General features: G+C 59.2%; 1 protein-coding gene across 17 annotated transcripts in view; it reads right to left on the reverse strand.

The window, feature by feature from the left end:
• The window catches only part of SYT7 (synaptotagmin 7), a 74,674-nt gene that overhangs the window by 30,305 nt on the left and 29,670 nt on the right, over window positions 1–14,699 (reverse strand). For 6 of the 17 annotated variants that reach the window (XM_011545339.3, XM_011545336.3, XM_011545335.3 and 3 more), the window contains exons 2-5: window positions 12,086–12,189; window positions 7,366–7,445; window positions 3,159–3,290; window positions 2,013–2,237 (exon numbers count right to left, since the gene is read on the reverse strand). In XM_011545339.3, the coding sequence (XP_011543641.1) occupies window positions 2,013–2,237; window positions 3,159–3,290; window positions 7,366–7,445; window positions 12,086–12,189 (541 nt within the window). The remainder of the gene's footprint in view (window positions 1–2,012; window positions 2,238–3,158; window positions 3,291–7,365; window positions 7,446–12,085; window positions 12,190–14,699) is intronic. The other 11 variants (XM_011545340.3, XM_011545337.3, NM_001252065.2 and 8 more) reach the window with 3 other exon arrangements.

Here is a 14,699-nt window from a genome sequence, read left to right on the forward strand (position 1 = left end):
TAAAGTTTTATTGGAACCAAGCCATTGGCATTAGTTTACATAGTGACTCTGGCTGCTTTCATTCCACAATGGCAGGGTTGAGTCATTGTGCAAGAGAGTATATGGCTTATAAAGCCTAAATATTTCCCAAGTGGCCTTTTACTGAGTAACTTTGCTGACCTCTGGTCTAGGGCCATGGGGCAGCCAAGTATCCCCTGGGCTGCCCAAGGGAGGAGGCCCCAGAGCCCTTGGGAGCCACCTTCACCACCGCAACCAGACCTCAGCTTTGCTCACCCTCTGAGCCTACCCTGGGAACCAAAAGACAACAGTTAGGCTACCCCTGTGGGCTGAGAGAGAGAAAGAAAAAGAGAGAGTGAAAGAGGGAGAGAAAGAGTATAGTAAAGAGAGAGGGAAAGAAAGAGAAGAAAGCAAAACGTAGCTTTAGCTGGGGTCTTGGAGGGGTGGCAGCCTTGCCTAACTCAGGCCTGAAATCCAGGCTACCTCCAGGGGCCGGCCCAGGCCTGGCCGGCCAGGTAGGCCCACAGCTCCCTGGGGGCAGGTCAAGGCAGAGGGAGGGCGGCACATTGGCAGCTGCCTCCTCCCCCTCCTTGGTGACCTCATTTTGGTTTCCTATCACATCCAAAATTAGTCCAATTTACAACCTCTCAGTCACAGGAAACTAAAATTGGTTCCTCCAGGCCTGGAGCCAGTGGATGGCATGGAGGCCTAACCGGCCTGGAGACTGGCCGGGGCAGGCTGGGAGGGTGGGGCACTGGGCCGGGCTCTCTGAAGGGGTGTGTGGCTTCCCTGTGGGACCCTCCTGGGGCCAGATGTTGGGAGAAATTGGCTTGTGTGCACTCAAGCCAACTAGCGAAAGAGATCTTGGTACGGTGGCCTTCGGTGCTCCCAATGGCAGGAACCACAGGTCTTCTGAAGAGAATCAGGAGGACCCTCAGTTGAGGCAACAGGATGGCCCAACAGCTAGGAAGGGGCAGGGCTGTTGGCCTGTTAAATGGGAGGCTGCTCCATTAGCTGGGAGTTCCAACTTCTGAAAATGGAATTTATACCCCAAGGGAGACTGGTCACAGCTCAAAGGACTCAGGGCCTAGAAGGGCTCTGATGAGGGGAATCAGAAGTTTCCAAAGGCCAAGATGAGAATAAAGCTGCCCCATGAGAGGGGATATACTGTCTGTGGAAAACAGGGGCCAATCCTACGTCCATCAGCCAAGAGTGGGCCTGACTGTTCGACAAGCTCAGACAGCTATTACAGAGGGGACGGCTCCTTCTGCCTGATGTCTAGAACACCCCATGACATCTGGCAAGTGAAGCTAGCTGGGGTTTGACAACCCAACCTCCAGGAATACACGGTCCCAACAGCCAGTGGTGGGATAGCTCGGTGACCAAGACTGGGACAGCCAACGGGGATGGCTGAGATGAGGATGAACCGATGGGGCAGCCTGCGGCTGCTCGTGAGTGGCTTCCACAACAGATGATGTATGGTTCAAGCAAGACTGGGACAGCCAATGGAGTCACCCGATGGTCAAAAATGGAATGGCTCAACTTCTGGGTCTAGAGCCATCTGCTGGCTGTAAGAGGGAAAGCCTGGGAGCTGATGGGTGATTGTCAGGCTGAGAGTGGGCCAGATACCCAGGATGAGATGGAACAACCACAGGCCTGCTGCCCATGGAGGGATGACCTGGTGGCTGAGATGGGGGGGCCAATCAAAGAGGATGGGATGACCCAGGGACTGAAATGAAGCTGCCCTGGGGGCAGAAAATGGAATGACCTGGTCACTGGCAAAGGAAGGGACTGATGGGGCATCAGCCAGAGGCTGAAATGCATCACTGTATGGCTGAGTTCGTCGTGCCAGATGGCAAGGATGATGGGAGAGTCTCATGAAGGGATGGAATGAGCCAGGGGCCGAGGACGGCACCTCTGGGGGCAGCAGCGGGCATGCCAGGGGTCCCGCTGTCCACCCTGGCAGGGCAGGCCTGAGCTCATGGCTCCGGCAGCCATGGGGCGCCATCACTCACTTGGACAAGTTGAGCTTCCCTGCGGCCAGGTGGCTCTGCACCGTCCGCCAGCGGCCTCTCCCCGCCTTGCCACCGCTGCCCGGCTCGCTGGGGGCAGCCCCGCCGCTTCTCAAGGCGTCCTCTCCGGGTGGCGGCACCGGTGCCGGCTTCTCCCCCAGCCGGCCTTCCCGCTCCACCGCCAGCCCCGCCGCGGCGGCCACTTTGGCGCCCGACAGGAGGGTGCCACTGGAGGCATGCACGAGGCAGCCAGGCCAGAGGGGCACCGGGGGTGGCGGTGGGGGAGAGAGGGCAGGCCATACGTGGGGGTCGGGGGGTGGAAGAGGAAGAAAAACAATAACAGATAAAAGGAAGAAAGAGACAGTGAGAGAGGAGGAGGAGAGAGACAGACGGACATGAGACAGACAGAGAGAGAGAGAGAGACATCAGCACTGCAAATGGGTTAACAGCGGAGCCTGCAGAGGAGAGAGGGGGACCGGGCGGGCTGGGGGTCGGAGAACAACGCACCACGACAACGGAGGGGGGGCCCCTCCCCACCGCCTGGGGCAGGGGCGGCGGGGGTTGGGGGAGGGCAGCCACCTCCAACTCTATCCCACAGGACAACGAAGGGTTAACGACGGAGGAAGAGCGGGCTGTCCAGGCCAGGAGGCCCCAAGGCAGGGAGAAAGAGAAAGCCGTGTTAGTCAGAGTTCATCACCACCACCACCACCATCACCGCCACCACCGCCACGAACCACCGACCACCGACCACCGACCACCGAGCAGCCACGGCAGCACACAGCGGGGAGGAAGAAGCGACCACAACCGAGGGGGCGGGACCCAAACGGGCAACCCCATCCTGACTGCACAGAAGGTGGGGTGGGCCCCGGGACCAGCTGGGGGGGCCAGGTATGGCTGCCGAGGGGGCTCTCCTGCAAGGCTGGCCCTGGGGGAGGGGACGGGAGCGGGCAGGCAGGTGGGTTGGGGCAGGTGGGGTTGCTCGTCTCCATGGTCGGCCTGCCCATGGGGTGGATGGGTGGGGAAGTTGGGGGACAGGAGCGAGAGGAGAGAGGGAGTGAGCGGGTCCAGAGGTGGGTGGGGGCAGGAGGAGGGAAGGAGGGCGTGCGCGGATACTCGGTACATATGATCAAACCAGGTAAAGTCACTCACTTGAGGGACAGTCGTGGGTCGCCATAAGGGGCGTAGGGTGAAATGTTTAGAATAAACTCCTTGGGAGGGTAGGAGCTCCATTTCTGCTGCACTGTGCTCTCATTGTTATTCCAAAAGTCTCTGTCTAGATCACTGGAGGGGCAGAGAGAGAGGGGAGAAAACAGGGAGATACAAGAAGAAACAAGAACTGCAAGTCCTGCGGGGGCAGAAGGGACCAGGACCCCGGGGCCGGGCACACAGTGGGCGGGGCTTCGTGGGTCAGCTCCTGCGGGAGGAAGAAAGGCAGGCGGGCACCGCAGTCTGTGCCTGGCACACGCACGCATACACGCACACGCACACATGTGCAAACATACCAATGCACACACGCACGCACTCGAGGGCCGGGAAGCCACACAGAAAGGAGGCAAGCGGCAGGCGGCAGACTGGAGCCTCGCACCTGGGAAGCTGGTGGGAGAGAGAAAATGATGAGAGGAGGGGGACAGAGGGGAGAAGGGTTGGGGATGAGGCCTGGGGTGAGCAGGGGGAGTGGGAGAAGGAGAGTGCTGGTTTCTGGCTAGATGGAGCTGAAAGGCAGATCAGGCCCAGGTGCCAACTTGCTGGGCCCTACCTCTCCTGGCCTCAGTTTCCCTGCCTGTCAAAGGAGAAGACTGGCTGTAACTGCTATACTATCAACTCTCTCACTGCAGAATAAAAGCTCTAGTACTGGAGAACTCAAGGTTCTCTCCTCTTCCACCTTCTCCCCACTGAGGCCCTCCTGGGGCAGGCCCAGCCCCTTGCCCATCTTTCTCCTCCTCCTCCCACTGGCCTGAGGGGCTCTCTGGCTTCCTCTGCTCTCTCTTCTACTCCATGAGGCTGGGCTGCAGCCTTAACCTAAGACTGGGGGATCTCAGCTGAGCTGGAGACCATCTCTACTCCTTGCAAATGTGGCAGCTGGGTCACCCCACTCCCCTGAAAGGGGAGCATTCCTGGGCCTCTGACCTTGCTGAGGATGTCACTAAGGTAACCAGGGGGCCCCTCGGTCCTTTGTTCTGGGGCCTGTGTAGCGGGAACCTGTCCTTCTCTGGGTGTGTCCCTGGCCTGCCTGCTGGTGCAGCCCCTCCCTGGGTCCCTGTCCCTTTCCAAGGTGGAGCTGCTGGGTCTGGAAGGGACCCTCACCCTGGACTCTCCACCTTCTCCTGAGAACGTGGGGACTTGCAGGTGGGGTGGGTGGCAGAAGCCTTGGCCGGTGGAGGGCATGGCCTGGAAACCCTGGGAGCCAAGGACAAGGGGCGCCACCAGCTCATCAGGCTACTGGGACCCCAAGAAGCAGGACTGGGAGTACAGGGGGAATAGAGACAGTGACTATTCTGGAAGGCAGCCATGTTTCAGGCATGGGAATGTTTCTAGGGAAGGGGCCCCAGGAAGAGCGCTGGGGTGGGCCTGGGGAAGACTGAGGCTGTGCCGCTCCCCAAAGCCAAGGTGGGGCAGTGTGGGGAAGGGTGCCAGCGGGGGCACACCCCACCCCCCAGGATCAAGCAAACATGTTCTTGCGGGACCTGCTTTTTCCTCCATTTAGAATTTGACCTTGACCTTGGTTCTCAACCTCAGACTCAGGCACAAAAGTGAGAAAGATGAAGAGAGGCTGAGCTGCCACCATAGGCCCAGATGAGATGGTGGCGTTGGGCATCCCTGCTGTAGACAGATTTCTCTGTCCAGAGTAGACCTTGGAAATGTCTCACAGGGGACTCTGTGTACAGGGTTCAAAGCCAAAGCGTAGAGCCAGCTCACAGGGGCAGTAAGTGGTGGGTATGGAGGAGGCAGGACAGGCCCCAGGGGAACCTAATCCCTTGACAGAAAACCCCCTTCCCACCACAGATGTCCCTTCCCAGCAGAGCCTCACACGAGGGTATGGATGGGGCCTCCCTGCGTCAGGTATAACAAAGATGGAGCAGGTAGCAGCCTCTCTTTCCCGCTCCCTCCAGATCTCCAGAATCTAGGGCCATCCAGCCCGAGGTCCCAGAAAAAAAATCCACCCAGAGTCACCACTGCCAGACTTGTCTCCCACCCTGTGTTCTGAAGAGCTCCAGGGTCTCTCAGGTTTTTCCACTGCGGTACTGGAAAAAAGGATCTTTGATTAAAGAAATTTGGGAAACACTGATTCCTTTACCGCAGGACTTCTCAGAGCCTTTAACGTGCCCATGAATATCAGTATCGCCAAGAGGGAGACAGAGTGTGCAGTGTTCCCCAAACTTAGTTGGCCGTGAGACCCTTGGTTCGTGGAATAGCTATGACTCATCTGTGGGGCACAAGGGCCCTGACGAACACAGTTTGGAAAGCACTGCTAAAGAACACAGTTTCCCAGAATCCTTGATAAGACGATCCTCTGTTGGGGGTCCTAAGCCCATGAAGGGCTGTGCAGGAAGGAGGCTCCGCCACCTGTGACTCCACTGACTTGGGACCTTTCTGTTCTCTGGAAAGAAGCAAAGGCCTAGGTGCATGCAGACACACACGGTGGCTTCTGTCCCTCGGGGCAGAGGGCCTGACCACTCAGCAGCTTCGGGGGCAGGCTAGGATTGTGAGTGCGGGGGCTGCAGGACCACACAGAGGCAGGCTGGACGGCCGCTGCTGCCTCACTTTGTCTTAGAGAGCCCTCATGGGCACTGGTCCCAGCCTGGCACAGCCTGCTGCCCGCCCTCCCCCTGGTTGGGAATCCTGTCTCCTCTTGTGGGCCCTTTCCAGGACTCTGGGCCCTGCCACACGCACCCCTATCCAGGAAGGTTATGATCACCTGGCAGAGGCAGGCCCCCAGCCCTGGCCCGCGGCTGTAAACGGCCTGTCCTGGAGGAGGCACAGGTGCTGGGCTGGCCACGCTCCCCCACGTGCTCCCTCGCCTTCAGAAAGCCCGGGCCTGCACTCTGCAAGAGCCCCTGGGCCCTGCCAGCACTTGGCTTTGAAGACCGGAGTCTGGGCAACCAACCTAGCTTCAAAGTCTCCCACAGCCTCCTCCTGAGCCTCCCGCCCTCCCCTAGCCTCAGCCTGGCCCACGCCTCCTCTTGCCCCACCCCAGACACATGCACACAGCTTCTACCAAGGCCCCAAACAGGATCAGTGCAAGAGATGAATAAAATGGGGCAGAAGAGGACCTGGGAGGGAGCCCTCAGGAGCGGGGTGGAGGGTGGGGGAGGAGTGGAGAAGAGAAGGTGGAGAAATAGGAAAGGGAAGGGAACGGAAGGGGAAAGACACACAGGGGAAGGCAGGGGAGACCAGCAGCGGGCAGGGGCCAGAGGGCAGGGGGAGGGTGGCTGGGCCTTCAGAGGGAGGAAGAGTGGAGGTAGGGAGGGATGGGGCGCTCGGCTTCTAGGCAGAGCCCTTTGGCTGGCAGGCTTGGTCCAGGCCAGGCTGAGATGTGGGGTTACCACCCCTACCTTGACCTCTGGGCTCAGCAAAGAGGAAGGGGCTGGGGCCACTGGCCAGTGGGCACAGAGGCCTCCCCCCCAGCAAAAGCCTCCATTTCCAGAGCCCAGGTGGCCTGAGTCCCCCGCCAGGTGGGTGGGGGACTTCTCTTGGTGTCTCCCAGTGACCTCAGCAGAGGGCTGGCCAAGGTGGTCTGCAGTGGGAGGGCAGACTCCTTGAAGAGGGCTCTACGGCAGAACAAGGAGACCTGGGTGAGGCAGAGACAGCCAGACACACAGCGGCCGGTGGGGTTGACGGGGAGGGAGGGACTGCTCCCCAGCGCTCTGCTCCCCGAGTGGCCCAGACACAGGTGTGTCTGCCTCCCCACTTCCAGGTCATCCTCAAACACTGGCAGGATCTGAGAAAAGAAGCTGGGGCCCACTAGGGAGGGGCCTCCCCGGCCTAGCAGCAGGGGCCCCATGAGAGGGGCTTGGAGGTCCAGGGAAGCCGGCGGGTGGTGGGCACAGTGTGTGTGATAGGAGGGTGGGATGAGAAAGCGGCAACCAGGGTTGAGGTGGGCGCAGAAGGTGCTGGCGGTGAGGGCAGCGGAAACGGAGGCCAGGGACTCCGGAGCACTACGAGGGGCTTGGGCACAGGCAGAAAAGACGGGGCCCCTGAGTTTTTGGGGGTGTGTGGAGGGTGTAGAGAGCATGGCATCGGGGTGTGGGGGAAGTGAAAGTGTGTGGTCAGGTCTGTGGGGCTGGGGGAGAGAAGGGGCTCCTCCCACCTGGGCTGCTTGTGTGGCCCCATCCCAAACTAGCAGCCTGGCACCTACTTGATAGCCTTCTTCTCACTGCGCCCACGCCCTGAGTCTGGCGTGCCCACCGTCTCCAAGGAATTCTTGTAGCGTTTGCCCTGTGGAGATAGCACTAGGATCACTCCTGGGGAACAGGACTGTACCCTCCCTACCTCCCCAGAACAGGGACCCGGAGGGGAAGGAGATAGACTGGAGTCGGGCCGTGGCAACAAGGCCAGGACCAGTGTGCGAGGCTGTCACCGCGGTGGGGGCCAATCCCCTGGATGCCTGCTCCCCGGTTGGCAGCTCCTGGGCCCCATCGGGCTCTAGGACCTGCCCCACCCACCTCGACCCGAACCTCATCCCTGACTCCCAGGGATCAGCCCCTCCTGTCTGCCTATCTCCTGGGGCTCTGGCCTAGCTCCCAGAAACACAGTTCCCTCTGCCACGGACAGACGGCTCTCAGGCGCCTGGCCACGTCACACTGTCCACGTCACCGCCCCCAGATGGTGGGGGTGGCATCCTGCAGGGCAAGGTTGGCAGTGGCCAGTGATGTGAGCAGTGGGGGCGGGGAGAAGGCCATGTCCCCAGTCCTGCTCGGGGCTGTGTCCACCACTGTCTGGGGGTTCTCTGGGGGGTCCTTGTGCCCTGGGGCTGTAAGGCAGGAGCAAGGCTGTTTTAGGAAGGCAGTCTTAGGAAGAGAGACTGCCCGCTGACTCAGAGGCAGTTGCGGGGAGGCAGCCTGGGCCCCTGCCCCCCAGAGTCCCTCACACTAGCAGGGGGAGGGAGGGAGCAGGGCAGCGGGTGGGTACCCCAGGTCCTCCAGCTAAAGGAAGGGCCGTGGCCACAGCGGCAACTGGGCCTGCTGCCGGGAAGGTGAGCACCATTCACCTTCTCAGTTTGGGTTTCTAAATTTAGCTCATGCAGAGCCTAGCCCCATTAACATTCCTGGCTGCCACCAAGCGTCCTCACACGCACCCATGGGCCACGGACCTGGGCCAGGTCCAGGGCTGATATGGGCAGTCGGGGGACAGGGGCTGTGCGGGGTTTGGGGCTGCCTCTCCCAGCCCATTCTCCCACTGGGCACTGGCCTGCCCCTCCCCGGCTGCACACACACACACACACATGCACACACACACACATGCACACACACGTGCGCGCACAAATGCTTCCCAACACCCTGTCATGTGCACCAGCACCACAGCCACAACAGTCAATTATTCCATCCTCTCTAAAGCAGAGTAAGAGCTGTCACTGCCACTGCCATGATTCCTGTCACAGCCATGCTCCCTGATGCTCCTGCCAGGGGCAGCCCCTTCCCAGGCACGGGAGCCACCTATCTAGGGAGACCAGCAGCAAAGCTCCCTCATCCCACCAGCAGTGCCCTACACCTCAGGGTTGCCTGGGGCTTGGCTCCAGCAATGCTGCATGTTCCCCCGTCAGCCTAGCCAAGTGTCTTCCCTTCTCTGGCCTCTTTCCTCCTTTCTGAAATGGTGTCGCCATATGAACCCCTAGAAGGAAGACTCCTCATCCCTCCAGGCTCTCATCACATATATGAGTATTTCTGTTCACTTACTTCAGCTCCTATCTCCCGGCACGTGCTCCCACAGAGGCAAGGCTGTGGGTTTCTGGTACTTAGTGTGGAACCTGGTACTGGGCAGTTCTCAGAAATCATCACCTGGAAGTGTCCCTTCTATGGCCCCGCCCACCCTGGAGTCTGGGCCCCCAGCAGCGACCTCTAAGTCAGAACTTTAAGAGTTGAAATATAGAGATGCCGGACACCCTGGGTTCACAAAAGCTGCCACTCACAGCTCCAACTCCGATCCCTCCCATCACTACCCAGAGGTCCAAATCTCAAACAATTCCCAGTTCCAACTGGGAAGATCCTATGCGGCTGTGCCACAGTGACCTCAGGCCCCCTTTGGCAGGACCCTCAGGCAGGAGCCCCGCCCCACTATTCTCCAGCACACAGGCAGTGTGGGTCAAGAGTGGGGCTGCTGAGGGCATCCCATGCCACCCCTCGCCCTTCTCTTCCTTCTTTCTGGCTTGGCAGGAGAGCTTGCCCTGGCCAGCACCCTCTCGTAAGGCAGGGCCGCTGCCCCTTCCCCGAGGCCAGGAAGGGCACGGTCAGCCCTTTCCGAGCAGCGCCCCCACAGACATCCTGGGAGCCTCTGTCTGCCCCTTCTCCTTCCCCAACTCCGAGAACCTTCCCCTCTGGCTTCGACTATTGCTCTGCAGCAGGAGCCGAGGTGCTATGGGGGACAGGAACCAGGCCAGGACTTGATGTGGAGGGCAGGGGGACAACCCAAGTTAACAGGAAACCAGGCAGGGTCCAGGTGACATTAGGCAGCTCCAAAGCAGCCCAACACCACCAGCCTGCTTCTCAGGGAGGGGTGGCCAGGCTGATCCGGAAAAAGCCAGCTGGAGATTAAGGAAGTTATTAATGTTTGGAAATGGGATCTGGGCTGTCAGGGTATCACGTCACTGCTGCTGAGGGGACAGGCAGGCAAGGAGAGCCCAACAACTGTGTGTGTTGGGGGAGGGGACAGCGTTTTAAAGTCCCTTCCATGGAGCAAGGAGACAGCCTGATCAACGAGCTCCCTGGCTTCTGGAACCCCTGAGGCGGAGGGGAGGGGGTGGCAGGGCTTGGGGGACTGGGGAGAGTAGCATTCTATCCACAGCAAGTCAAGAGGGACAGCCTGCGGTCTGGACCCTGGGAGGGTTCCTGGCTGGGGATTGTGGGGAGGGGCTGGGACCAGGGAAGAGGCTGCTTCTGCATCTCTCAGCTCCCAAGGTCCTTCCTGTGCTGACAGCCCCCCATCTGCTGCAAAAGCTGTTGTCTTTGAACTCCTGTCCCCAGGCCCTGCCCCTGACTGGAGGTGCATGGGGGTGGGGTGGAGACCAGTTACAGTTGTACCTGGGTCCTGGAAGTCATCTCTCACCACACACACCCACACCCACACCCACACACACACACTGCAGCACATATGCAGAGGAGGCCAGGAGGGTGGGGCAGACCCCAGCATTGACTCACACAGGGATCTGATGAGTTGATGCACATCCCACCACTGAGGGGTGAACGGACACGCACAGACAGACAGACAGACACACACACACAGACACACACACACAGTGCACCAATACCCTCAAAGTCAACACATTCAGCACAGACTCCACATGGAACACACACACAAGGTCGCCATCAGCGCCTGCTCATGCAGCCTTCTTCCCTAGCCTTCAAATCCAGACAGACAGCAAGACAGCCTAAGGGGCCCTGCAACAAGATGCTCCGGGCTGCAGGTACGCTCAGCCACTCCCCCAGCCTCCGAGGACACTCACACACAGAGGCACATGGCCCAGCCTCCTCCACCACCTTTCCTGAAATTCTGAGACAGACGCAGACACAGGGGACCCAGGAACAAAGCAGGGCAGCCAGCCCGGTTCCACACATCTGCAGGCAGAGGGGGATCGGGTCATGCACACACTTGCACACATGCACACACACTCGCACAGGGAGCAGAGCTGGCCTCCACTATGGCTCCTCCCCAGGGGTCGGAGCTGCCTGAAGTTCAACACCCAGGATGGAGCCGCATGCTCCCAAGTCCTCAGTTTGCCTTTCTTGAAGGAGGCATGTTGGGTTCTGGGACTCTCAGGTCTTTCCCGCAGGTCTCTCACAAGACCCCAAAACCTTTTCCCAGGGGTATCTGCCCCTTTTCTTCCTCCAGAGGAGTGGGGCATGAAGCCTCTACCCACCCAGTGCCCACAGCCACAGTGCTCCCCCCTTGTCCTTAAGGCCCCCCTTTGGCTGCGCAGGAAGAGAATGGGGTTCCCAGAGGTGGTGCCCTGCTCCCACTCCCACCATTCTCGGCCCGGGGAGATGGGGGATGCTTGCTAGTGACCCTCCTTCACCTGACTCCGCCAAAGGCGTAGCACCTCGGACACCCCCGGGCCCACCGTCGCCCCCCTCGCCCCCTGCTGCCCCCAAAGTCCCACCACACTTCTGGGCCGGGCGGCAGGAGTGGGGACGGGAGTGGAGGTCTTGCGGAGCAGCGGCTCGGGGAGCTGTGGGCTGCGGGCTGGGCGGGGCGGCGCGATGCGGGGCGGGCGGCTCAGCCCCGCTCCCCCTACCGGCGCCCTCAGGGGATGAATGTCCCTCCTGACGGTCTCTTTACTTATTGATGGACTAATCCTGCTCGTTAATTCCCCAGCCCTCGTTAAAAATGAAAAGGAGCCGTTTGTGCTTGTACAAACCCAAGAGCCAGGATGGATGTGCGGGGGTGGGGCGGGCGGCGCCTCCGCATTGGCCACCGGCTCAGCCACGCCCATGGAGGGGAGCGGGCAGAGGGGAGGGGGCGCGGTGCTTAGAGTGGGGGCTCTATTCTCAGTCTGCGCGTGTGTGCCTGCGGTGCTTTATGCGGGAGGCAGGGCGTGTGTGTGTGTGTGCGCGTGTGTGTAGCTGCTCGCGTGCGAATGCCTGTGAGTCCTAAGTCTGTCCCCGAATGTGTCCCTAGATGCATGGCTTTGGGTATATAAACAGAAGTATAGGGCTGAGACCCGGGTAAACGCAGGGTGTGCATGCATGCATGCGTATGCACGCGGTCTGAATTTCTATGGAAGTGCCCCTGACTATGCGGACAGGTGAGTCACCTGTGTGCACCCTTGGGAAAATTCCCAAGCCTGTAATTGTGTGTGTGTGTGGGGAGGGGGGGCAGTGTGCAGGGCTAGGCACCACCCTCCAAGGGGCCCTCAGGAGCCTCACCAGTTTGCGCTGACACCAGTGGCAGAGGCCGCAGAGGACGACAGTGACGCTAAGGCTGACGGTGATGATGGCAGAGACCAGCAGGACGTCGCGCGAGGGCGCCCCTGGGGAGGACAGGTACAGGTCACACCCTCATTGGCCAGGGCCTGCCACCCTCCCTCAGCCCAGAGCCCTCCAGAACCACCACCCTACCCTCCATCTGGCCCCTTCACTGGGAGCTCTGAACCCAGGTTCTACTCCCAGTTCTGCCTTGCTGGATGAACTTGGGTAGTTTCCTCTCTGTGTGCCTCAGTTTCCTCATCTGTAAAATGGGGAAACTGTGCCAGTTGGCATCTTTCTCTGTCTCTCCCTGCACGGACCCTGTGTGAGTCCATGGGATCTGTGCCGGCCTCCAAACTTGAGACCCTCAAAGGGAGAGGCCAAATGTGCCCCTCAGTTCAGCCAGACTTCACCCGTCCATCAAATCCCTCCACAGGCCACTGCTCCTGGATGGCCTTTTCACACAGCACTCTTCCACCCACTGCCCTGATGACACACACACTCTGAGTTGCAACTCTAGTGAAATTTGTCCAAAGGGTCCTTATTAGCTCTGACAGCCCCTCTGAGGACATCTGCCTCATGGCACTAGCCGGTCGTCTTGCTTCCCAAGACTCACCAGCCATATGTGTAGTCAAAGGAATCTCTGGAACCCTCTGGCCAGCTGTTGCCCCCTTTAGCCCAGCTTTCATTGGTCTGGAAGTCCACCCACTGGCCTCTGCACATTCCTATCCCCCAAGCTCACCCCCACCACACCATGGCTGCAGCCCATCTGTAATTCCTAAATGCTCTCATCCCAAGTGCCGAGGTGCCATAAACTTCAGAAGTGGAAACCTTGGCACCCTTGGCAAAGATGTCCTGGGAGGAAAATCTCAGGCCTCTGTCTGAATCCCACCCCTTCCCCGGCTGTGTGGCTTCTGCCAGTCACAGAAGCACTTGGTTTCTTCCTCTGTAAATGCAGATCAGACCTCCTCCCCCGCCCTCCTCATGGGTGATTGTAAACATTAGCCCAAACCAAATGTAAGTAAGGCAAAAACTTTGAGGACAAATTCTCATGTGGGGCAGTGAGTGGAGACCCGCATAGATCACACATGCGCTATCAATCTGTTGTGTGTGCTGGGATGCATCCTAAAGCCAAGGAGATGCTGTTTATTTACAGAGGAGCCTGCGTGGGCTTTTTGGTGCCAGTGATCATGGTAATTAAGAGTTGACAGTATCTGTCTGGTTCTGGTTCCTGCGGTTTTAGCTTCTGCCTTTCTTCCTCTCCCAGTCTCTCTTGCTTGGCCATGGAGCCTGGTTGAGGAAGGCCCAGCAGTCACCCTCAGGGATGACTCTCATCAGCTCTCAGGGGCCTCTGGGCTCCCTCCCTCCTCCACTCCAGCACCCTGGGCAGCCCTTTCTCTACCTGCTCTACTAGAACCCTCTTTGGGCCCCACCTCTCCCTTCCTGACTTCCTGAGCCTCCTAGTTGTGGGGAAAGACCACACTTGTGAGGCTCCCACCTGTCCACCTGCCAGGCAAATTCAGCCTCCTCCTGTACCAAGTCTGCAGCCTCAACCCCCCGGAAGCCCCTGCACCCAGTTCACTTTCAACCTCAGGGGCCACGGCACCCAGGAGCTCTGACCTGGACAACCTGCAATCACCAAGGTCCTGCCCCTCCCTCTCCTGGGCTGAGGAGCACAGCTCTGCAAGGCTGGAGGGGCCACATTTGTCAAAGTTCTCAGGCCAAATGGGAGAACTAGGACTTTGATCTCCAAGCTTCCAAGGGAGAATAGGAGCAGGGCACTCCACCACAGCCCCACGGCCCATGGCCAGGACTCCAGGGAAGGGATGGGCAAAGGCGCTTTCTGGACATGAGATCTGTTTCCCAGCTCTCCCCATGGAACCTGCCCAGCCCCACTGGAAGGGCTAGGGGAGCTGTGTGGGCTGAAAGCAGATGAGCCCACACTTTCCTTTGTTTAACTCACTTTGAAATAAAGTAAACGCCATTCTTACGCTGAGCTTTCCTCGGCAACTATCTATTAAGAATATATTATGAGTGGGCATGGTGGCTCATGCCTGTAATCCCAGCACTTTGGGAGCCAGAGGCAGGCAGATCACTTAAGGTCAGGAATTCGAGGCCAACATGGCAAAACCCCATCTCTACTAAAAATACAAAAAATTAGCTGGGCATGGTGACGTGTGCCTGTACTCCCAGCTACTTGGGAGGCTGAGGCATGAGAATTGCTTGGCTTGAACTCTGGCATGGGGGTTGGAGGGGGGCGGAGGTTTTAGTGAGCTGAGATTGCACCATAGCACTCTAGCCTGGGCAACAGAGCAAGACTCTGTTTCAAAAAAATATATATATACACACACACACACACACATACACACACACACACACACACACACACACACATATATATATAAATTATGAGGGTGTGTGTTTGTTGGGGAACAGGCCCTGCCCACAAGGAACTACCACTCCAGTGGGGAAGACAGGTTAGAATTAAGTTATCTCCTAGCACGCTAGGTGCCCCAGAACCATCAAACAGCAGGACACCCAGCCAGGGGGCCCCAGACTCCAAAAGACCTGAGAA

The sequence above is a fragment of the Homo sapiens genome, chromosome 11 (assembly GCF_000001405.40).
Source record: "Homo sapiens chromosome 11, GRCh38.p14 Primary Assembly".
Lineage (NCBI taxonomy): Eukaryota > Metazoa > Chordata > Mammalia > Primates > Hominidae > Homo > Homo sapiens.